The sequence below is a fragment of the Homo sapiens genome, chromosome 2 (genome assembly GCF_000001405.40).
Source record: "Homo sapiens chromosome 2, GRCh38.p14 Primary Assembly".
NCBI classification, from domain to species: domain Eukaryota; kingdom Metazoa; phylum Chordata; class Mammalia; order Primates; family Hominidae; genus Homo; species Homo sapiens.
In genome coordinates, this window is record NC_000002.12 from 44,939,344 (window position 1) to 44,961,898 (window position 22,555).

A 22,555-nucleotide genomic window follows, 5' to 3' on the forward strand; every position below is an offset into this window, starting at 1 on the left:
TGCAGTTTCGGGGTCACGAGCTGCTTTCAAAAAGTTGAACACAATATTCGGAAACCCACCCGTAGGAATTCTCCCCCCACACGCGGCACAATACCCACTCCCCTCCCCTTTTTCATTCCTTCCTCCCCCGCTTCCTCCTCCTGCCCCTTCCCCCTCCCACCCTTCAGCCTATAATCCTTCCCCTACGAGAGAAAGGGATCGGGAAGAAAACATGAAGTGTCTGTTTTTGTGTCCCAACCTTTGGGCTCTTTCTGGGCCCTCAGTGAATGACCGCCCAGAGCTTTCAGCTGCGTGGAGAAGGACTCATGGCCAGGAGGAGAGGAAATATATATGGAGTGGAGAGAGCACTGAAATGGGGCTTGGCAGGTCTTCCCTTTGGAGGAATATTTTTCTGCCCCAGTCGTCGTGTTGAAGACCTGCTACCCCACGGCTGTCTCTGGCTAAGTGAGCCAGTATTGGCCCCTCGCCGGACCCAGGGCCTCCCTGCCGCCCGGAATCCTCCAAGGAGGCTTGCACTTGTCGGCTTGCTCTTCTCCCCGGCCCTCAGAGGCCTGGCACTGCGGGAGTCAAGGCCTAAGCAGGGCTCCAGCTCGGGGTTTAGGGGCTGGGACACTCACAGCCCCAGTCACGTTAGGTTTCCCATTTAAATTCTCTCTCAACCTCTCTTTCTCTCTTCCCTCATTGAGATCACCAAAGTGGTGTGGACACGGCGCCTTGCCCCCAGATCTGCATCGGAATGCAGAAAAGATCTTTAAAAAAAAAAAAAAAAAGTTTTGAATTCCTCAATGATTTTTCTTCTGGAAAGGCAGCTTAGGATAATTATTTCAGCTTTATTGAGGGCAGATTAGTTGAAGTCTGGGCGCTGCGTTTCAATACGCGTTGTACACGGGCCGACAATGTGGTCATTGTTGGCTACTGTGTGTGAATCCATTCAACATATACACTTTTTAACACCAAACCGAGTCCTGTCTAAATATACACAGTGCTCAGGGAAAGACGTCTCTGACCCCGACAAATCTGCGTAAATCACACTTCCATAGTTACAGAAGCCTCACAAAGGGAGGCCCGGCTCAAGATGCTGATTACAGCTTCTTAAAAGCAACATACCTAAGAATAAATACCCATGCCTGGCCTAGGGGCTGTGGTGGCCAGAGGCAGAGAGGGCCCTCTGTGTTCTATGGGCCTTTTGGCGTCTGTTTTAGGCTTTCGATGTTACTTTCCCTAGAGAAATTAGACAGTTTAAAAATAATAATGGTAATTATTATTATTTTACAATACGAGCAAACAAGCAATTTTCAGGCCTTATTCACTTCATCCGGGTGGCTGGCCTCCAAAGTTTGAGTGCCCTCTGGGGCTGGCAGGCAGGACCAGAGCTCCTTCTGTTGTGTGGTGAGGAGTGGGCATCTGTAGGACTTTTCTGGGTCCAGAGGGCTCTTGGGCTTCTCGGCTCCCGCAGCTCCTCCACCACTCCTCAGAGAGGCAGCTGAATTCTGGGAAGAAACAAAGAGTTGAGTTGCTTCTTAAGATGGAAAGAAGTGTACTGTTTGGACTGTTATTTTAAAATACAGGGTGGTGGGGGAAATCGAGGCTCCTTGGCCGGGGAGGGAGTAAAGAGAAGCCTAATTGATGAAGAGGGAGTTGAGGTGAATGCGGTCCATGGGCACCGATGGGGGAGGCAAGAGCGGCCTCCAGCACCCTGGGAATTGGGCTCAGGCTCCCTGGCGCCAGATACCCTCGGAATCCGGGATCCCCGGCTGGCGCCACGGCCCGCTGGGCCAAGGTCGGTGCTTGGTGGGCCCCATGATCTCATCTCTCCTTTCTTCCTTGCCACTATTAGTGCTCACATAGGCAGAAAGAGGCGGCCCGACGTGCAAACCATGTGCAAACCGCGCCCGCTGGGCTGGTCAGCCGTCTTTCCTTGCCTGCCGACCTGGACTATGTGGAGCCTGGGGGACCCTCTTGCCTCCCAACAAAATCCCCTCTCTAATTGCACATCCCATTCAACAACTCTGCCCAGGGCTTTTCGAATTTCTGGATCAACTTCTTTAGGAAAAAGGGAAGAAGAAGTCTCAGAGACAGCGGTAGAGAAAAGAGGAGAGAGAGGGAGAAGAGAGAAGAGAGGAGGGGGAGGTAGCGAGATTAAGAGTTGCAAAGATAAAAAAAATTCTCTTTATCCCCCCACTTCTCCCTCCTTCCCTGCTCTCCCCCTCCCCCCGCCCTCTGGCTAAGTGGTAAAACCGTCCTTACGTTCTCGGTATTGATTGGCAGGGCTGACAGTGATTGGCAGTGGTTGCCGTGGCAACGCCACAACGACACGCCACAGACCAATAGAAAAGCGAAACAAAATGTTTCAATGCTGCACTCACTGTGGATTTAGGGGAGATATTATGAGGCTGTTGTCATTAGGGCGATTGCGGTGGAATCGCTGAATCTTGACTCGGCGGTGGTTGGCTCTCCCTCTCCTCTCTCCCTCTCCCTCTCCCTCTCTGTCTCGGGTTCTCTCTCTGCGCGCGCGCACCGGGCCGCTCTCCTACCTCCCTCTCTATGTGGCTGCGCGGGTGTGTGTGTGTGTGGATGTGTGTGGGGTGTGGGTGTCCCTTACGCCCTTCCTCCTCTCCCTCCTCCTCCTGCTCCCCCCTCCTTTCCTTCTCCTCCTCCCCCCTCTCCTCTCCCTCCTCCTGGTCCTCATCGCCCCTCTCCTCCTCTTCCTCCCCTCTCTCTTCCTCTCCCTGAATTTTCTCCTCTCCTCTCAGGTCAGTCCATGGTATTCCGCTCCCCCCTAGACCTCTATTCCTCCCACTTCTTGTTGCCAAACTTCGCCGATTCTCACCACCGCTCCATACTTCTGGCGAGTAGCGGCGGCGGGAACGGTGCGGGAGGCGGCGGCGGCGCGGGAGGCGGCAGCGGCGGCGGGAACGGTGCGGGAGGCGGCGGTGCTGGCGGAGCAGGCGGCGGCGGCGGCGGCGGCTCCAGGGCCCCCCCGGAAGAGTTGTCCATGTTCCAGCTGCCCACCCTCAACTTCTCGCCGGAGCAGGTGGCCAGCGTCTGTGAGACGCTGGAGGAGACGGGCGACATCGAGCGGCTGGGCCGCTTCCTCTGGTCGCTGCCCGTGGCCCCCGGGGCGTGCGAGGCCATCAACAAACACGAGTCGATCCTGCGCGCGCGCGCCGTGGTCGCCTTCCACACGGGCAACTTCCGCGACCTCTACCACATCCTTGAGAACCACAAGTTCACCAAGGAGTCTCACGGCAAGCTGCAGGCCATGTGGCTCGAGGCGCACTACCAGGAGGCCGAGAAGCTGCGCGGCCGCCCACTCGGCCCGGTGGACAAGTACCGCGTGCGCAAGAAGTTCCCGCTGCCACGCACCATCTGGGACGGCGAGCAGAAGACGCATTGCTTCAAGGAGCGGACTCGGAGCCTGTTGCGGGAGTGGTACCTACAGGACCCCTACCCCAACCCCAGCAAGAAACGCGAACTGGCGCAGGCCACCGGCCTCACTCCCACACAAGTAGGCAACTGGTTTAAGAACCGGCGGCAGCGCGACCGCGCCGCGGCGGCCAAGAACAGGTTAGTGGCGGGGCCCGCGGCCTGGCTACAGCCTCAGAGGCCTGGGAAGGGGAGAGGGGTTGAGATGGGGCTAGCGGAGCGGCCGCTGAGAGCCAGGGAAGCCGTGACTCCTGGCCAGTCGGAGAAAGTTTCCGCTTGTCCGGGACGCGCGGAAGAGGGGGCCGGGCTGGCTGTGGGTGTATTGATTGCTTTGACCAAGAGGGGCTTTCGTCAGGGCAGAGAGTGTGTGCTTGCGACCCGAGTACCCGCAGCCCCTGGGAGACTTAGCCCTGCGCTGCACCCGTGCCTGCCTCCTCAGCCCTGCCGCCAGCTCGGCGATCCTCTGGAGCCTAGAGACAGGGAGGGAAGGAAAGCACTCTTTGCCATCTGGTTCTTATTTCTGTGCGTTGCAAAACCCCGAGAGAAATCCACTAGCGTCAGAGAGAGGAAAGTGAACCTGGGTCCCTATCACAAGGGGAAAAGGCCAGAGGCCACTGCGCAGCGGGCCTGTTTCCCCGCAACGCTGCACGTTGCCTGACCGGGAGCAGGAGAGCCGGGCTGGGAGTGGAGAGGCCTAGCGTGTGCGTGTGCGTGTGTGTGTGCACGCCCGTGTGCATGTACTCGCCCTCCTGTTTCAGCCGAGGAGAATCCCTTTGGTCCTCTAAGCTGGGAAGCGGGCACGAGCAGCCTCGTTGCCGGCAAGTTGGCCACAAAGTCACAAAATTGTATAGGGCTTGACCAACATCACAGGAGCTGGGCCTGGGGGAAGGAGAAAAAGAACCAGAGGGAAAGAAGTGGATAGGCGAAAGGAGTGGGGAGAGAAGGGAGAAAGAAAAGAGGAAGTTGGGTGAAAGCCCTGATGTGGAGCCTGTGTCTTTCTCTATCCAGCCAGGAAGGCCCAGGGCCTGGTGTACTTCAGGGAGCAGGACCCCCAGCTGCTGACAGCTGCCCGTGGGTGGGGGCTGGGTGTGAGTTTCTGGAGGTGTGTTCGAGTTTAGGCGGCCGGGACCTGAGCCCATGGCCCTCTCACCCCTGCCGTGGAGCCCACTTTTCGTCTGATGAGGGGAGCGCCCAGGGTCAAGCCAAGGCCTCCTTGTGGAGAGAATTCCAGACACCAGGTCCAGGCAGAAGGTTCCCGGTGGGGGAAAGGGCAGCTGGAGACTGCTCTGTGCGCCTCTCTTGCCTTCTCCTTTGCCCCTTTTCTGTCTCCCTGCTCTTTCCCCACTTTTCCACCGCCAGCTTTCCTATTTTCTCTACCCTCGGTCCTGCGCTCTGCGCTGGCATCCAGAGAGCAAAGTATGCAGTTCTACCCGGAGACTGGCCGGGCGGTGGGGAACCCGCAGCTCCCGGTGTGTGTTTGAGGGAGCAGGGACGGGGTTACTAGGGGAACTCGACCGGTCGCGGGGCAGCCGGCTCAGTTTGAAGAGCCCCAGGGACTGCGGAGGGAAGAAGCGCCCGGCTCCTCTCCGACTTCTGCTTCTCCAGGGCTTGGCGTACTTTGTCGCTTGCACCCAGGCCTCCCCAAGCGGCCGGGCTCGGGTTCTGCCTCTCCTCCGAGGCCAGCCTCTATCTGAGAAGACTTGGGATGCTCCCGAAAGCGGAATGGGGAGCGGCGGCGCGGGGGAGCCGGGTGGCGGGCCTCTGTGTCAGGGCGGGCGCGGATCTCTTTCTCCCGCAGGCTCCAGCACCAGGCCATTGGACCGAGCGGCATGCGCTCGCTGGCCGAGCCCGGCTGCCCCACGCACGGCTCGGCAGAGTCGCCGTCCACGGCGGCCAGCCCGACCACCAGCGTGTCCAGCCTGACGGAGCGCGCAGACACCGGCACCTCCATCCTCTCGGTAACCTCCAGCGACTCGGAATGTGATGTATGATAGCCAAGGCCGCCCTCCTCCCTCTCCTTCCCCTCCTCCCCCACTCCTTCCCCTCCGCCTCCTAGCCCTCCTCCTCTTCCTCCTCTTCCTTCTCCTCCTCCATCCCCAGAACAAACCGAAATCAGGATACCCAACCATACACACATACAAGTCCACACACACTCCCACCCCAGCCAAAAATATATAAAAAACAAGAAAATAACAAATTAACCGCAAACTATCAACAACCCCCAACCACCATCTACCACTACGGCCACCCCAAAGGACCCCGACGCCAACAGACAGTCAAACGCTGATGTTGCGGGCAGAAAACATAAAAGAGGTGACAATTGTATACTTTCTAGGACAAGCACGGCTTCTCCTTTCGGTTCCCATGGACCCGGCACCCCACCTGCATGACGATTTATTTGTATCTGGGAAAATATTCTCTCTAGTTAAAAATGATTTAAAGAGTCGACTATACAAAAATCAATCACCACCACGAGGACAAGAGGGCAAAAGCAAAACAGACAAAAAGAAAAAAAATCGCCGTCTCCGTTCCGAATTTGTTAAAAAAAAAAAAAAAAAAAAAAAAAAGGACAGGGGGAAAAAAAAAAAAAAAGAACTCCTGGAGAGGGAAATAGCAAATGTGTCTTGCCTTTTGTTGCTCTCTCTCTCTTTTTTTTTCTCTCGCTCTCTTTCTTTCTCTTCTTCTCTCTGTTTTTAAGTCAAGTATTGGTCAAAAAAATGCAATCTTCTGTTTTTTGTTCAGCAGACAATCATTTTCTTCGTAAGCACCTTTTTCTCTCCACTCTGTCACTGCCTGTGTGGGTACTGGTTATAAATGTGGAAAAAGAATAGTTATGACTGTAACAGATTTTTATTTTTATTTCAAAATTTTATATGAATTATGTATATCTTAATGATCGGTCATTTTCCCAGTTTGTAATATATGTGTAGAAATTGCCTGTATATGATATTGCTTTTTCTCCTCTCCCTTTCTCTTTCTCTCCTCTCCCTCTCTCTGTCTTTCTCCCCGCTCAACTGTCTCTTTTCTTTTTGGGGTTCTCCTCCCACTCGGTGCTCCTGGTGTCGACTTGGCAGTCAAGGAGAGGCATGGTGGCCTGGGTTAGGAAGAGGGACCCTGTCGCTAGCAAAAGCGGAGAGTGAGATTGTAGTATTCTTATGCAAAAGCTATTTCCAGTATTTCTTAGCAGCTTCAGAGGTATCTCTCACTCCCTGTAGGGCGCTTTTACTGTTATCTTAAACTGCGTGTTTATCTATATGTAAAAACTTTCTAAAGCAAATACAGTATTCTCCATTTTCTTATCACTCCCAGAGACTGGTGTTTTTGTCTGCCCCTGGCCCGCAGCCGCGGGGTGCTCGGCCTTCACTTCCACTCCTGCTCACCTGAGCCGGGGCAGAATTTCAAGGCTGGATCTCAGCATTTTTTTTCCCCCCTGAGGGCATTGGGAAGACCAGAACAGGCCCTCCGGAAAAGAGCCAAAGCTGGATCCTGAGCAAAAAGGCAAAGATGGTTCAAGGGTTGGGAGCGGGAGGCTACCGCCAGTTTCTTCAGAGTCAGAAGCTAGGCCCACTTCACCACAGTATGCATTCAGCCGGAATTGTAGCCTGCCAAGACCCTGTGGGTCCTTGGGGGTGTGCTGGGCGTCTTTCAGTTGTTGTTGCTTTGTTTTTTAAAAGGAAAAACATACAAGGCCGCCAAACCCCAGCATCCATCCCGAGTAGAGCTGACAGGTTTTGTCTTCTTTTTGGGGGGTGGGGTGGTGGTGAGGACAGTGGCCTGAGTGGGGAAGGCAGGAGGAGTGAGGGAGGAGGTCGCTTGCAGAGTTTAGGGTCTAGAATCAGGATGGACTCCCCTCCTCACCTCCTGAGTGTGTGTCTATGTGACAGTGTGATTTGCCTTACGGCTCTCGATCTGTCTCCCTGAAATTTCTTCCCATCTCTGGGGTTCAGCTGGAGTCTCTCGAGCCCCTAAGACATTTCAGAGTTGGTTTACACTTTAAAATGAAAACAAAAAAGTCACCACCTCTTACTAACCATGTTCCCACTGGCCCCAAGGCCTCCATGCCCTGGCCGGGGCCCCCACAATTCCCTGGGATGGCTTGGCTGGCCGTGCATCTGCCGCTCTGGGCCAGGGTGGCCTGCACCCAAGGAGGAGCAAAAGGGGTAATTTCAGAAAACTTGCTTTTACTTGAAAGTCCAATTTCCAAAGCAAGGAGGATTGGGGGAAACATGCCTGGAATTTTGCATCCGTTTCCAAACTAATTTTGACTTCCGATTTCCTTTTGTCCCCATCCCCAGCAGCACCAGCACCAGGGGGTTTAGGAGGGCCAGGCTGGGCAGAGAGGCTGTCTGGCCCAGAGGTGCCCTGAGTGTTCCAGTGGGACCTTGCATGTCCAGGGCGTGCATTTGCCAGGCAGGGAAGGTTCCTGAGTGCGCCCCTACTTAGAACCAGAGCATCCAGCTGACCTCCAGAGCTCCCAAGTTCTGTGGCCTGGCACATGGTGTCAGAATCTCTGTGTGTGTTCACTGCTCGGGAAAATATTCCTTGTCCTGCCACATTTCAGGCAATATCGACCAGGTGGTAGGAATTTGGGAAAAGGACTGCCTGGATTCTACCCAACTTGAGCCTCTGTTCTGGGATGAGGAGCTCTGTCACCCACCTTTGCTTTTAGATAATCAGTCACATACTTGACACAGAGCTTGGGCCTGGAAACCCAAAGAAGTGCCTGCCTCAGTGTGGAGAGTCTGGATGGACACTGCTCAGCCAACTGACCAGAATTGACGGATGAAAGGCAAGAAGTTGCTCTGCTGGAGGGTGACTCCTGGAAGGGCCTGCCTAGATAGAGGACATCAAGGAGCAGGTGCCTTTTTGTCTAGGGGACAGGAGACAAACCTGGAAGTTAAAATGATTTCCTATCTCAACACACGGTGCAGAGAAAGCAGATTTGGGGCATCCAGTGCCCACTCCTTCTGTATTGCAGAAAACTGTCCATCAGACTCCACAGCAGCCTTTAGCTTTGGAGGGCCTGGGCCTTACTGGGTGTCAGCAGCCTGTTGTCTATCTGTCTATCCTGCTATCTATCATGTATCACTCTCTCATCTCCTGTGTTTCCATCCAGGTCTGCACGAATACCAATACTCTATGCTTTGTACTTTCTGACCTTACATATAGGTTCCCTGCAGGAAGGACATGTGTGTTTGTTGTGGGTGTGTAGATGTGTGCAATTCTGGATGCTGGGCTTTCAACCCTCAGTCAAGGTCTGAGGGCATACAAAAGGATGTGTGTGTGTGATGTTTGGTATAAATGTGTGTACAGTGCATTGGTGTGTGTCCAGTATGTTTTCATGTATACTGCATAGCACAGGTATTTGTGTATGGCTTAGCCAGTTTCTCTGTCCTTAGTTCTGCAAGGAGTGCATATTGGGGGGCTCCAATACACCTACAAGGTACTTGGGCATGTGTCTTGTGGGTCTTGGGTCTAGTGTAGACATGTGTGTGTTCCCTTGTTCTAGGCACTCCCTAGATATGACTGCCAGGCTGCCCACCTCTAACAGGTCTTCCTGTCCCTTTAAGACTTAAGGGATCTCAATGGGTATTCATTGGCTGGAGGGCAGAAGGGGATTGGGCTCTTTGGCTATCCCAGTCCATCCTTTATTCTGTTTGATTTACTGGGGATATTGTGGTTGATTCGGCCTTTGCCCCTTTAAACATCGGAGTGAGAGAATAGAGGCCCCTTTCTGGCCAGATCTTGCCTTTTACCAGCTGCTGGCCTAGGCCTAGTCTTTTCTGGGCCCCTCAAAGCCCTGGCCAAAGCGGTCAACACCCTACGGGCCACTCAGACAGAGCTTGAGGGCAAGGCCAGGCTGAAGTTCCACCTGCAGAAAGCCATCTCAGTCACTGCACAGCCCCCACCTCCTGGGAATGCTGCAGGTTGTGCCTCGGCCAGGAGAATGTGTGCATTGGTGTGTGCTCTCTCGTGGGTCTTGTGAGCCTGGGTCAGACCCAATATGCAGGCCTAAGTGCTAACCATCTGTCCCCTATGTCTGGGCCATGCAGCAGCCAGTAGGCTGGCTCCTCTGCTTCTGGCGTTCCAGTGAGTCCGCACCCACTACCCTGCACGCAGCACACTTCCGCCTGGCATCCCAGCGGAGTGTTCTGGCTCGGAGCCTTCCCTGTGTGCTTAGACCTCCTGTGTACCTCAGTCACTTACCGTAAGTTTCCAGAGGCTTGAGGAATAATAGCCAACTTGGCTATTTTCTCAAAGAAAAATAATGACAATCCAAGATTTGCATTGGAAACCTGAACAGGCAGAATGGGGTGTGAAACTGGGCAAATCTGTATCAAAGCCTTGACCCCTAGATGTGCCTGCCTGAGGGAAGAGGCCCGTCTACCCCTTCTGGCCTGCTCACTCTCTCCGCACCCAGCCCTCTTCCGTCCCTGCCCCTAGCCCTGGCCCTGAGCCCCCCACCTGGCCTCTCTTCTTGCCCTCCTTGAATCCTGCGGAATCGACTGCCCAGTGCCAGTGCAGTTGATTATCCCCGGCGAGACACACAACTGATTAAAATGAAATGACCCGGAAGCTGCCACGGCGCGGGGCGGAGATGCCGATCAATAGTGGGGCTGGAGGCACGAGTCTGGCCAGTCCCGGCTGGGAATGGGGTTGAAGACGAAGGGCCCAGCCTGGGGGTGCCTGAGACTTTGGGCGGGGAGACGGTTCAGTGAGGCAGCGGGAAGGCCCTTGCCTGGGCTTGCCGAGGGGGCTGTGATGGTGGAGTGGCCCCCAGGTTCTTCTGCAAGGAGAATAGGACAGCCTGGTACATTCTCGACCCAGCGCATCACCCGGGACCCCGGAGCTCGAAGTCCATTCCCAGGCCTGTGGCGCACTGGATGCACTCGGCGTCTTGGAGCAGTCTCTTCTCCCTCTCTTCTTCCTCTGCCTCCGTGGCCCTGTCAGTCCCGCCTAAGCCTTTGTGTGGCCGTCACCTGGAGCACCGGCTGTGCCTCAGGGACTTTCCCGGGCCTTCCCCTTGTCCTCTCTGTCCCCCAGCGCTGGAGCTGAGATGCCCGGCCCGCGGGACGCTCGACCCCCTGGTACGCGCGCTGAGGCCCCCACGGCTTCCCACCGCTCCGGCCCTTTCCGGCCCCAGCTGAGCTGAAGCTCCCTGGCCCCAGTGTGCGGGCCCCGGTGGCCGTCTGGCCCGAGGGAGGGCGGGGGCAGGCGAGAGGGAGCCATGGAGGAGGGGAGCAGTACTAGCCCGGCTCCAATTTCTCCGGTCAGCTGAGCACAACTTTCCATTCGAGTGTATTCATGCAGCGGCTGATTGAGCTCCACTGTGCCGGGCGGGGCTCGGCGGGAGCGGGCAGGAACAGCCAGGCTGACAGAGGCTACACACACACACACACACACACACACACACACACACACACACACACACGTATGTGCAATTCATCTCATCTACATAAACATGCCCTCTATGTTATATCACACCTCACCTCCAGCCGTGCCATCATAAACACAGCCGAGCCCCTTCCCTCAGGCACCTACCTGCCCTCAGAGCAGTTTCCCAGCACCCATAGACCTGCTTCTCTACACAACATAAGGCCTGCCTTTCTGATTTTCCCCTTATGGATTCTACACCGGTCCTCAGATACAAACACAAGAATCCTTCATCTGCCTTTCCTGCAGGCACACTCTCCAGGATGCATGCACTCCAAATCTGTACAGTCGCACGCACAAAATGCCCAGGCTCACAATCGCACCCTCCTACAGAGCTACCCAGATTCACACAATAGAAATACACATCTGCATAAAATGGCATTAGCACCAATAGACATTTAGTGCACAGCCTGTTGTAAGTACACAGTGTGCTGGGGCTAACCAAAAGTTTAAACACAAGAAAGGGAGAAAATGAACAATAAATCCAGTCAGAGAACACAGCCACTACACAGTCACCATGACAAACACACAGAGGAAACCTTCGGGCACACACACATACCTGTGAGCCAACCCAGAGACATAAGACATGCCACCCAGAGGCATGCCAACCTCCAAACCACAGAGCTTGACTCTAGGGACTCACAGACCACCCATTCATTGCACGCACACACACACACACACACACACACACACACAAACACACACACACACACTAGGCTAGGGCCCAAAGAAGATAGGTAGGGAACTAGATAAGCACCTTGAGAGAAGCATGCCTGCTGTTGGGAGTGAGCAGGTAAACAGAGGCCTCTGTGTTACAATCCACCCCTAAACGCCCATGTTATGCTGTTCTGCAGAGCAAGAAGGGAGAGTGAAGAAGAGGGCTATAAATTATAGAGTGAGGATAAAGGCAAAAGGAAAAGGGAGAGAAAGGAGAGGGAGTTGAAACAAAAAGTGAGGAGAGGAGAGAACAGGGAAGGGGCGGGAGCCGGAAGGGTCTGAGGGAAGATGGGGAGCAGCTTCCCAGGCTTAAGCAGGGGGAGGGCCAAGGCTGGTTGGGGAGAGGGTGCCATTGCAGCAGGAGAGCAATTCCTTCTCCAAGAAAGCGCCTAGGGGAGCACGTTGACTTGTGGCCGGCTGGACTTGGGAAGTGGGACGAATACTGGGGGTGCACAGCAGTTTGGGGCCCAACAGCACCCATTCCCCTTGTGGGCTGGGGAGGTCATGCAGCTTCCTCTGCCCAGAAGAGGCCCACCCAAGAAAGCACCCACCTTCCCATGCCTCCCTTCCCTGGACTCAGGGGCAGCTTTTCCCCTCACACTACACACTCTTAGAGATGCCCCCAATATGATTCCATTCGTAAGACACACACAGTCACTGCTCTGCATGCACACACACACACACACACACACACCCCTCTGCCTTCTACAGTGGGCATAGGCAACCACCCACTTCTGCTCAGGGATGCCGCAAGGGACAGAAGCATATCTCCACTCCTAGCAACGACTCCCCACTTTTTACAAATAAAACCACGACTCTAACTGGTTTCTACACACACTCTTTTTGGAAAAGAAAAGGGCTTTAACCTGCAGGAGTCTAACCCGTCAAGACGTCGAGGACCTTTACAGAATGTGCTGGCAAGAAAGGAGAGCACAGGCAAGTCACACACACATGCATGTGCCAGGCTCTGCCTACACTCCAGCCCCGCCAGGCTGCTCACGGCAGGCTCAGTCAGGGTGGAGGCCCTCTCTGCCTGAGGATGGAAATGGCTGTGTGGCTGGAGGAGCTACAGACCAGCCAGGCACTGGCTGTTCTCTATCTTTTATTTTTTATTTTTATTTTTTTCTGAAAAGATGAGGCTTGGCAGGAGGGGCGAGTTCCCTGGGGACTTCTCGGATCCCTGCAGGCAGGAAGAGTGTGCGGGGCCCAGGAACCGAAACAGGAGGTCCGAGGGACCAAGGCAGGGTCCAGACGTGAGGGGGAGCGCGGCGGGGCGTGGGGGACGCGGCCCCCGGGGCAGGGGTCCGGGATCTGCGGACGTGGCCCGGTGGGGAGCGCGCCCCTTGGTCCCCGCTCCGCCCTCCGGCCTTCGCGGCGCTCTCTCGCTGGGCCTTTGTCCCCACCTCTCAGGCTCGGACTCCGTCTTTCTTCTTTCAGGCCGCTGGGAGGCGCTGTGGCCGAAGCCCCGGCCTCTCCCAGCCTGATGCCCTGGTCCTGCAGCCGCGCCGTCTTTCTCCGCACCCGGTTCCCGCGGGGCTGGGCTGCCTCAGGCGATGGCCCGGCCTGTGGCTGGGCCCGCACTGCCTTTGGTTTGTTGGATTTTGCGATATTTACCATAATAATTAATTTGCCGCCATTCAACAGAATATCTTAGCAAGGCCCCTTAACGACTGGAAGCGCTGCTAATTCCCTGCGTATGCGCCTCTCCCTCTGCAGCCCGGGACAGGCGCAGCCGCCTTTTGCCTGCCCCTACCTCGCCCGGGACACACTGGCGCCGCCTGGCCAGGCCCGACTGGGAGGAAGGACAGAGGACCGACGGACACTTGTACATGTGCGGGCGCACGGAACCCAGGCCCCGGCCACCGCTGCCTTTCCCCTGTGTGTCTGAGCTGAAGCGGCTACGCTTATACCGGGAGGTGAAACGGAAGCTCAGAGAGGGCCATAATTTGGCCACTGTCACACAGCCAACCTCCACCTTCACCCGGCTACACCAACACACTCGATGACCTTCTCTGTCTTCCTCGCCGTGCGCTCCCGATAGCGGGGGAAATACTTTTCTGAGACGCCTCTCTGGGCACGCAAGATGAGGCAAAAGCGGGAGAAGGGAGTGGGATAGGACCGGGAGCGGGCGGCCCTGGGCTCTGCCCTTCTGGGCGCGCCATCGCTCCCGCCACCTGCACTAGGACTTTGCAGGAACGCGCCTCCTACGCGCTGCCTAGGAGGACCAGACGCGAGACAAGCGCTCAGCAAGCAGCTACGTGCAGGCAGACCTACCAAGCCAGGAGAAAGAGCGGGGATTTCAGGGGCCTCCGCTCCCACAGCGGACCGGCCTCCGCTTAAACCACCAGCACTTCCCAGTGGGCCTGGGAATCGAGGATGTGAAGTGTGTGGATACATGTGAACGTTGTTGAGTGTGCAGTGAGACTGTTGTGCAGATTCTCATGAATTGCAAGAGAAATATTTACCTTGTGCGGGTGACAAGTCTACCTGCAGATGAGCCCGGGGGCTTGTCCAGTGCTTGTGAGCATGATGCAGAAATATCAACTAAGTTCTCGAAGAATGGAGGGGAGAGGGACAAGCACAATTGAGCCCTGTCCTCAAGTTTCTCACGATCCAGTAGGAGGGACAGTTGAGGTCACCACTTAAAAACAAACCAACCCCGTGGAGTTGCACACAGTGTTTCCCGGAGTGTCAACTTCGCAATTAATTACTACAACTTTGGCGGTGGGGATAGAGAGGGCTTCTCTGAGTTCTCTGAGCAGATGGCACTGACCCAGAAGGATGAATCGGATTGAGTGGAGGAGATTCTAGGCAGGAATGGCAGGTGGGAAGGCATGGAGGAGGTGTCAGGTCCAGTGGGGAGCAGTGCAGTGTGGCTGGCCCGCCGGGAGTACTGTAGTGTGGGGCCCATGGGTTTTTGAGAGGTTGGTAATTGATTCTGAGGGAAGAGGGAGTAGGGATTAATTACAAGATCAGGCAAGTTGTGTGGCCTTGATCCCATGGGTACTGGGGAGCCAAATAAAACTGTATGAAAGTGGCTGGGCGCGGTGGCTCACGCCTGTAATCCCAGGACTTTGGGAGGCCGAGGCGGGCGGATTACGTGGTCAGGAGATCGAGCCCATCCTGACCAACATGGTGAAACCCCGTCTCTACTAAAAATACAAAAATTAGCTGGGGGTGGTGGCACATGCCTGTAATCCCAGCCACTCGGGAGGCTGAGGCACAAGAAGCACTTGAACCCAGGAGGCGGAGGTTGCAGTGAGCTGAGATTGCCGCACTGCACTCCAGCCTGGAGACAGAGGGAGACTCCGTCTCAAAACAGTCAAACAAACAAACAAACAGACAAACAAAAAAACTGTATGAAAGCTTAAGTGGTAATATCCAGTGTCCTGCTTAAGGACTGTAGTCGGGGGCAGTGAGGCTGTAGACAGGAAGGCCCCTAGGAAACTATTCCAATAGGCAGGACTGAGCTAAGACGCCAGAATGGGTTAAAGGCATTTCCAAGGAGGAATGGTGAGGACTTGATGACCAGCTGCAGACCTTATAGGCTGCCCTCCGACCTTCAGCTTCCTGTGCGCTCACAATTCACGTGCTCACACGTGCTCCTTAGAGGGGTCTGTCGGTGGACGCCGCGAACCAATCAAACCCTTGCACTTTGTTCCAAAACCCATTCCCTACCAGAATGGGAGTCCTGTAGGGCCAGGTCTCCTCCCATACCCACCCATTTCGGCCTTTGTTCTACTGCACAATAACAGCTGGCACTGGGGTGCGGGAGGACGGTGAAAGCTCGAGTCCCAGGCTCCAAATCCTCCAGGAGTAACTGGGGTGACCCGAGGAGAGCAGCGCACTGGGTGAGTGGAAGCGTGGCCCGTGAGAAGGGTACCGAGGGTCAGAAGTGTCGCAAGGGACCCAGGACGCGCGCGCCTCCGAACCCCTGAGTCTTCGCAGGCTCTGCGAAACTTCAGTGCGCGCAGCCTCCTGCACACCGTTTTCGCGCGACCTCCTTGCCTCGGTCTCCAGGGGTCAAGCCAACCCAGCGCGGGAATGTTCCATTTGCCCTTTTGGGACATTCAGAGAGGCTTTTCCGGGCTGCCGCGGCGCTTCCACGCAGAGGAGGCGTCGGCTTCCAGGCAGCTTGGCGATCTTGTTATTGGACACGCGAGAGTTTAGAGACCCAGAGAAATGGAGTGAGTCAAAGTCAAACTCAAGTTTCTCGGCCCCTAGTCCTGCGATTCTTCCATTGCACATTGCACCCCTGGGCCTTTCACATCTGCTCCTAGCGAGCTTGGAGTGTAGGTGCGACCAGGGCGCATCTGTGCCAGTGCGTGTCTGCGTGCGTGGCCTTTGGGTGACTCCACGCCCGCAACTGTCTCCGACTGTGTGGGCGCGTGTGTGGCAGGTACCCAGGAGCAGGACAGGGAGGGAAGCCTCAGCTTCCAGACCCGCTCTCGCGTGCTGGCGGGAGCGGTGGGTAGGAGCAGGAGGTATGTGGTGAAGGATGTAGGCGGACTAGGGCTCTGTCCCCGCAGAAGAGTCCAGGACGCAACCCCTCACGCCGGGCCAGCGGGGAGGCAGGAGTATGGTGGACCCGTTCCCCCAGGGATGGGAGAGCTGAGGAAGGCTGCAGGTCGGATAGCTAGATTCCATGATGCCCCCAAGAAGTTGCCAGACTCCAGTCTGGGAGCTCTCAAGAGCCAGAGACCCAGGGAAGTCCCCTCTTTGGCCTCCGAGGACCCCGAAGCCTGGCAGCAGTGCTCAGCCTTGGACCCCGCGGTTCCGCGGCCGGACGCCCCTCGCGCTGGCTGTGCGCACCCTGGCGCAAAGCACTGCAGGTTGGAGGCGGAAAGCAGCGCGCTCTGGGGCCACTGGCGGGTTTTTGCTGCCACCTCGCGGCGATGGTGCATAGCATGCGAACCCTCCGCACCGCGGGCCTTGGTAGTGCACGTGGGTGGTGTGGGGGGCCTTGCCCTGCCGCGCTGTCCTTTTCTGCTCGAGTTTTCGCAACACCTCTTCCACCGGGATAGCCTGCTTCTCCTCTTGAGGGACTGCGCGCTGTCTTATACCAAAGTCCACCATTTTGCGTGGGTAGGACCCTCCACCCTGGCCTGTGGGATTTGGAGTCACCTTTCTAGCTCCTTTCTCTTGCTTTACTACTTGATCCCGTGGCTGCCCACCTGGACTTGCAATAGGTCTCATGCTAATATTTCCCTTCTTCGGCACTATTAACTTCTTGTCTTGCAGATAGATGCCTCTAGGTCTCCTACAGCGGGAGTGTGGGGCTGTCTTCCATGGTGATAGGCTGTCTGGTGGGAAGCCATGCGGAGCTAGTACCCTCTCCTCTCCACAAGGGCTTGCTGAAGGCCTTCCATATGCCTGACGCTGCCACACCTTGGAGACAGCCAATGGCAGCCTAGACCCTGGCCCTGCGATTATAGTTTAGTGCAAGCAGAGAAACACAATACACAAATTATCATTGAAGCTGCCATATGGAGGTATGGACAAAGTGGGAGCCCGAGGAGGGCCTTTGAAACAAATCTTGATGGATAAGCATGAGTTTTCCAGGCCAGTGAGGAGGGAAGGACAGTCAAGGGACTGGGAAGTGTGTGTCCAAAGACACCTGGGTACAAAAGAGCATTGGGTGCTGAGAGGGACAGCTGTTTCCTGGGGTGCTCCACAGTCTGATGGTGAAGACATTGCTTTGCTCTGGACAGCATAGCCAGCCAGCTTGGGCGAATGTATTGATAAGAGTATCAAGTGTCAGCAGTGAAAGGAATATTTGGAATTGCTTCGTTTTCCATTTAAATAGACAAGGAAACCGAGATTCTGGCTAAGTCTCTGTCCTTAAGTACAAAGCTAGTTAGGTGGCCGATTGCTCTATAGAGTCCACCATGGTGCCTAAGGGAGGCTGCGTTCCAATGCCAGGTGGTCTGGAAAGAGGATGGTGGTGGTGGTGGTGGGGAGTGGTTAAGAGGAGCCATCACAGGCTCTTTTCCTTTTCTCAGCTACAGTTTTGCTTGCCTGCTTCTCTCTCAGGCAGCATAAATACTAACCATTACTCTCTTCTCTACAGATGCAATCATTCTAAAAGCTTTGGGGTTTTTTGTTTGTTTGGTATGTTTGCTGCCAAAACTATTTGGCAGCCAAACCTGACCTAAACAGTATGAAGCTATTTATAGTCTTTATTTATCCTGCTTGTCATAGATATCAGATGTTTCACTGCAGAAATGCTGATGTGTTGGATTACAGGTACTGCTCTGGACCCCCTTGGGTGGTGTTATGTAATACAGAATATACGGACCATTATAGGTACCTTTCTGAAATCTCCAAAACTATGAATTTCCCAGGGTTTTTGGAAACGGTTTGCGGTCCTTTGGGATTGAGCCTGGATTGTCTTATGATAAAGAGGTTCATGGTGGGAGAGGAAGTCAGGAGAGACTGGGAATTTAAACAACGTAATGAGACAAACCATGATTGGTAGTTTGCAGGAAGAGTAGGTCAAGTTGGCTGTGGGACAGGGTCACAGGGCCAGCCCAGCAAAGCTGCTGGCATCCTGGAGGGCCTCAGGGGCTAGGGTCTTAAATTTCTTTTTTTCCTTTGAGACAGGGCCTCGCTCTGTCACCCAGGCTGCAGTGCAGTTGCATTATCATGGCTCACTGCAGCCTCACCCTTCAGGGCTCAAGCAGTCCTCCCACCTCAGCCTCCTGAGTAGCTGGGACAAAAGGTGCACACCACCATGCCCAGCTAATTTTTGTATTTTTTTAAGAGACAGGGTTTCACTATGTTGCACAAGCTGGTCTCAAACTCCTGGGCTCAAGTAGTCTTCCCACCTTGGCCTTCCAAAGTGCTGGGATTACAGACGTAAGCCACCGCACCCAGCCCTTAGATTTCTACACAAGCTGGAGAAGGTAGATAAGATCCTGGCTCCAGGCATTTTTTTCATGGCCGTTCTCTCCCAGAGTCAGACTCTCCCCTTGATGCCAGAATTCTCCCTTTCTCCAGACCCAGGGAACACCTAACTCCACCTCTCCGGGTCAGTCAGGTAGGGGCAGCCAGATGCTCACCCTATCCCCTGGATGTCCTGGGGGAAAATCCGTCTCTATCATAAAGCCATAGTAAGTGCCTAAAATGTGAAAACTTTACATGAGAAAGACAGCTGCGAAGGAGAAAGAAAGTGAAAATTTATGACTGAATGCTTTCTAGGCATCCAGCCATGTCCTAGGTTCTTACACCAGCTTATTTTTTTTTTCATCCTTGCAGCATCCTGGGAGATCAGTATTTTCATCCTCATTTTTATAGTTGAGGGAATTGAGGGCCTGAGGTTATAGGATTCTTGCTAGTCCTCTTTCTCCCCCTGAAGTCCCCCTGCAATAGGGTAAGAAGTTCTAGTCCAAGCTTTCCTCTCTTCCATCTTCCAGGAAAGCGGAGAGACTGGAGCCCTGGTAGTGTGTGTTGGAGGGGAGAATGTGGGTCCCTTGGAAGGGAGTGGCTGGGGGCCCTGAGCTCTGGGGGATAATCCAGGCCAACCCTGTGGTGCTCCTTTCCCAAAGCTCCATCAGAGACAAATAGAATTGTGACATATCCCCTTGTCCCTCCAGGGAAGGCTGCTCCCTCCTCAGTGGGTGTCACCTCCGTCTGCAGCTGTTTAGCTCTTCCTTCTGTGTCAACACTCCCCCCTTGTCTCTTTGTGAGAACTTCGGTTGTATTGTTGTTATTCTTGTTGTTGTTTTTGAGATGGAGTCTCCCTCTGATGGAGTCTCCTTCCATCACCCAGGCTGGAGTGCAGTGGCTCCATCTCAGCTCACTGCAACCTCTGCCTCCTGGGTTCAAGTGATTCTCCTTCCTCAGCCTCTTCAATAGCTGGGACTACAGGTGCACACCACCACGCCCAGCTTATTTATTTATTTATTTTTATTTTTAGTAGAAACAGGGTTTCAGCATATTGGCCAGGCTGGTCTTGAACTCCTGACCTTAAGTGATCTGCCTGCCTTGGCCTCCCAAAGTGCTGGGATTACAGGCATGAGCCACCGTGCCCGGCCGGCTGTATTGTTTTCTATGTTTATTTAAAACTAAAAACTTGCAATGATGCGAGTTTGGAACTGCATGCCCCAGGAACATCTGGGCTCCTGAGTCACTGGAGAACAGCTTAGAGACAGGGTGGGGACAGTAAGCTAAGCTGGGAAGAGTGACTCAGAGATACCAGAGTCATCATGACCTGTCCAGAAGCAGAGGAAACAGCGACCCTGCAGATGGGCCAGAAGGAGCTGGGATTTTTCAAGTAGCAGGAGAAAGGATGCACCTCAGGTGGTGGGGGAAGTGACAGTGCAGAAAATGGTGCCCTCATGGAGCTATCCTGGCCAGCAGAGAGCCCCAGACCACATTCTGCCTGGCTTTACTGTGATTGCAGTGCATGGCTTATTTCTCCTGCTAGACAGGGTATGGGGCTGTGTTAAATGCACCTTTTGTATTGCCCACAGCACCTAACACAAAGCCAGACTCTGTTGATTGGATGGGTGAGTGAATGAAAAAGTACCATAGGCTTAAAAACCAGGCAGTGCCGGGTGCGGTGGCTCATGCCTGTAATCCCAGCACTTTGGGAGGCCGAGGTGGGCGGATCACGAGGTCAGGAGATGGAGACCATCCTGGCTAAAATGGTGAAACCCTGTCTCTCCTAAAAATACAAAAAAATTAGCCGGGCGTGGTGGCATGTGCCTATAGTCCCAGCTACTTGGGAAGTTGAGGCAGGAGAATCGCTTGAACTCAGGAGTTGGAGGTTGCAGTGAGCCAAGATCGTGCCACTGCACTCCAGCCTGGGCGACAGAGTGAGACTCCATCTCAAAAACAAAACAAAACAAAACAAAAAAACAGGCATTACCAGCCTGCCACAGAATATGCCTAGAGAAATCTACAGGTGACCCTGATGGGGCATGCAGAACCCAGAGCCGTGGAAATCACCTAAAAGGAGGGGACCACCTAAAAGGAGGGGACAGGAGAGCATCTGAGCAGACTGTCTGTTGCCTGGAGCAACAGGAGGACTCTCTGGGGTCAGCTGAAAGGGAAGCAGTCAGGGGACTTGCAAGGGGGGAGTACCACTCGGGCAAGGGCAGGAGAATAACAGGCGGTGCCCTGGAGGAACACTGCATGCTGCTGAGGAAGGAGGGCGGCCTTGGCGATGATGTCACCATGAAGCACTTGGAATTGAGACAGAACATTCTCACTTGGGGTCAGTTTGTACCCTCGTACTGAAAGTTACTCCCTGGTGCTATCTGTACTCATCATATTTTGACACACTTTAGAGTAACCCTTCCATCTCTCCCTGCTTCTTTTTGAATTTAAACATCAAGCATTTGAACACAAGTCTTCATGTCCATTTATCTCAGTGTAAAGAGGAACAACTGGGCTGGGCGTGGTGGCTCATGCCCTCTCTTGGTACTTGATATAGTCAGTTGCCTGACTGCAAACCCAGGCCTACCCTGGGTAGAAAGAAAAGGGAGTTGTGACAGTTGCCAGGAAGATTTCTCTGTGGAAGCAGCTGGTGTTTTTCTGAGTGGAAACTTTGTGGAGGGAACTAGCATTTAATTAAAAAACAGGCTGGGCGCAGTGCCTTACACCTGTAATCCCAGCACTTTGGGAGGCCGAGGCGGGTGGATCACTTGAGGTCAGGAATTCGAGACCAGCCTGGCCAGTATGGCGAAACCCCATCTCCAATAAAAATACAAAAAATTAGCCAGGTTTAGTGGCCGGCACCTGTAATCCCAGCTACTTAGGAGGCTGAGGCAGGAGAATTGCTTGAACCTGGGAGGCGGAGGTTGCAGTGAGCCAAGATCGGGCCACTGCACTATAGCCTGGGCAACAGAGTGAGACTCCATCTCAAAAAAAAAAAAAAAAGGAATAACTGATGGGATCACGTTGACTTTCCCATTCTCTCCTCATAGACATGTGCTCAACAACTGCCTCTAGAGAGGAAGCAGGCCTGGTGGTGGCAGCTGTGGAGTAGGGACACGGTGGCTGGGATGGGGGTGGAGTTAGGGAGTGGGAAGCCGGGGGTCTATCTCCTGCCCATGGGCTTTTCCTATCTAGCCACATGGTAGATGAGCCCGTGCTCCTGGCCAGTTCTGCCCTCCTTGCCTCCATTTCATTTCAGGATTCCTGGCCACTCTCTCTGGTTGCCAGCCCAGCACCAAGCCTCCCAGACATTGATTCTCTGCTGCTCTGTGGCATAGAAGACTACAGTGATGGGCTCTGCAGACTTCACCTTGGAGTCCCCCTTTCATCCCTGCTCATTAGTCTCCTCCTCGGTTGTTTGGTTGAATGTTTCCTAATGCCAAGGGGTAGGGGCAACGTATGATATCTTCACTTTTTTACATCTCAGCATGACCCTGGCTTCCCCTCCTTCCTCCTTCCTGCTGCCTTGCCTTTTTACCCATCTACCTCCTGCTCACAGGATGGACACTGCCTTGTCCCTAGCAGCTCCAGCAGCTCCCTTCTCCAAATGCCCCCCTTCTCTAGGTGGCCCTTTCCGTCATGTCCTGGCCTTTGGATGTTGGTTCCCATAATGCAGATGAGAAGGTGGAGGCAGAGAGAGGGGAAGAAGCCGGCCAAGGCTGAACACTGAAGCACCCTCAGGGCCAAGGCAGGCATTCTCCTGCTGGATCGAAGGGCCCCTGGGAGACCCAGGATGCCCATGAAGAAGGTTCCCATCCCTGGGGCCCTGCTAAAGCTTCCCAGTGGGGGCCACATGTCTCCCACACTTCTAGGGCAGTGTTTCCCAAACTTACCTGACCATGAGGGGCACCTGAGGCTCTTGTCAAACGGTCACAGTTCTGAGTCCTTATTGCATTGGAATCCCCAGGTGCTGGAGGTGATTCTTATGAATAGGCAGGATGGGAAAATACTGCCTGATGGCCTTGTTCCTCAGTGCAAGGGTGAGGGAGGGGTCCTAGCAGCGCTAGTACCTCTTGGGGACTCGTTAGAAACGCAT

At 54.6% G+C, this 22,555-nt stretch overlaps 1 protein-coding gene and 1 long non-coding RNA gene across 3 annotated transcripts, besides 10 other annotated features; one reads left to right on the forward strand and one right to left on the reverse strand.

Moving 5' to 3' along the window:
* Positions 23-524: an enhancer, noted in NCBI's record as "H3K4me1 hESC enhancer chr2:45166505-45167006 (GRCh37/hg19 assembly coordinates)". NCBI's record gives its function as "activates a minimal SCP1, AML or CMV promoter by ChIP-STARR-seq in primed H9 embryonic stem cells {active_cell/tissue: H9 hESC(primed)}" and the evidence as "EXISTENCE:reporter gene assay evidence [ECO:0000049][PMID:30033119]".
* Positions 525-1,024: an enhancer, noted in NCBI's record as "H3K4me1 hESC enhancer chr2:45167007-45167506 (GRCh37/hg19 assembly coordinates)". NCBI's record gives its function as "activates a minimal SCP1, AML or CMV promoter by ChIP-STARR-seq in primed H9 embryonic stem cells {active_cell/tissue: H9 hESC(primed)}" and the evidence as "EXISTENCE:reporter gene assay evidence [ECO:0000049][PMID:30033119]".
* Positions 811-2,535, reverse strand: SIX3-AS1 (SIX3 antisense RNA 1). Of its 2 annotated transcripts, none has more exons than NR_103786.1 (2): positions 2,367-2,535; positions 811-1,490 (listed from the first exon to the last, which is right to left on the reverse strand). It is a non-coding gene; the product is annotated as an SIX3 antisense RNA 1 (long non-coding RNA). The 2 variants fall into 2 exon arrangements; NR_103785.1 differs by lacking the exon at positions 2,367-2,535 and adding an exon at positions 1,845-2,164.
* Positions 1,793-2,319: an enhancer, noted in NCBI's record as "H3K27ac-H3K4me1 hESC enhancer chr2:45168275-45168801 (GRCh37/hg19 assembly coordinates)". NCBI's record gives its function as "activates a minimal SCP1, AML or CMV promoter by ChIP-STARR-seq in naive H9 embryonic stem cells {active_cell/tissue: H9 hESC(naive)}" and the evidence as "EXISTENCE:reporter gene assay evidence [ECO:0000049][PMID:30033119]".
* On the forward strand, positions 2,359-6,728 carry SIX3 (SIX homeobox 3). Its single transcript, NM_005413.4, has 2 exons — positions 2,359-3,567; positions 5,225-6,728. Exons 1-2 carry the CDS (start codon positions 2,762-2,764, stop codon positions 5,415-5,417), a joined length of 999 nt encoding a protein of 332 aa, NP_005404.1. The 5' UTR covers positions 2,359-2,761; the 3' UTR covers positions 5,418-6,728.
* Positions 3,402-4,126: an enhancer, noted in NCBI's record as "H3K27ac-H3K4me1 hESC enhancer chr2:45169884-45170608 (GRCh37/hg19 assembly coordinates)". NCBI's record gives its function as "activates a minimal SCP1, AML or CMV promoter by ChIP-STARR-seq in naive H9 embryonic stem cells {active_cell/tissue: H9 hESC(naive)}" and the evidence as "EXISTENCE:reporter gene assay evidence [ECO:0000049][PMID:30033119]".
* Positions 6,416-6,922: an enhancer, noted in NCBI's record as "NANOG hESC enhancer chr2:45172898-45173404 (GRCh37/hg19 assembly coordinates)". NCBI's record gives its function as "activates a minimal SCP1, AML or CMV promoter by ChIP-STARR-seq in naive H9 embryonic stem cells {active_cell/tissue: H9 hESC(naive)}" and the evidence as "EXISTENCE:reporter gene assay evidence [ECO:0000049][PMID:30033119]".
* Positions 10,540-10,639: a silencer, noted in NCBI's record as "silent region_11435". NCBI's record gives its function as "represses an Ori minimal core promoter by ATAC-STARR-seq in GM12878 lymphoblastoid cells {active_cell/tissue: GM12878}" and the evidence as "EXISTENCE:reporter gene assay evidence [ECO:0000049][PMID:35858748]".
* Positions 12,874-12,923: a silencer, noted in NCBI's record as "silent region_11436". NCBI's record gives its function as "represses an Ori minimal core promoter by ATAC-STARR-seq in GM12878 lymphoblastoid cells {active_cell/tissue: GM12878}" and the evidence as "EXISTENCE:reporter gene assay evidence [ECO:0000049][PMID:35858748]".
* Positions 15,784-16,490: an enhancer, noted in NCBI's record as "H3K27ac-H3K4me1 hESC enhancer chr2:45182266-45182972 (GRCh37/hg19 assembly coordinates)". NCBI's record gives its function as "activates a minimal SCP1, AML or CMV promoter by ChIP-STARR-seq in primed H9 embryonic stem cells {active_cell/tissue: H9 hESC(primed)}" and the evidence as "EXISTENCE:reporter gene assay evidence [ECO:0000049][PMID:30033119]".
* Positions 15,784-16,550: a biological region, named in NCBI's record as "H3K27ac-H3K4me1 hESC enhancer GRCh37_chr2:45182266-45182972".
* Positions 16,361-16,550: a silencer, noted in NCBI's record as "silent region_11437". NCBI's record gives its function as "represses an Ori minimal core promoter by ATAC-STARR-seq in GM12878 lymphoblastoid cells {active_cell/tissue: GM12878}" and the evidence as "EXISTENCE:reporter gene assay evidence [ECO:0000049][PMID:35858748]".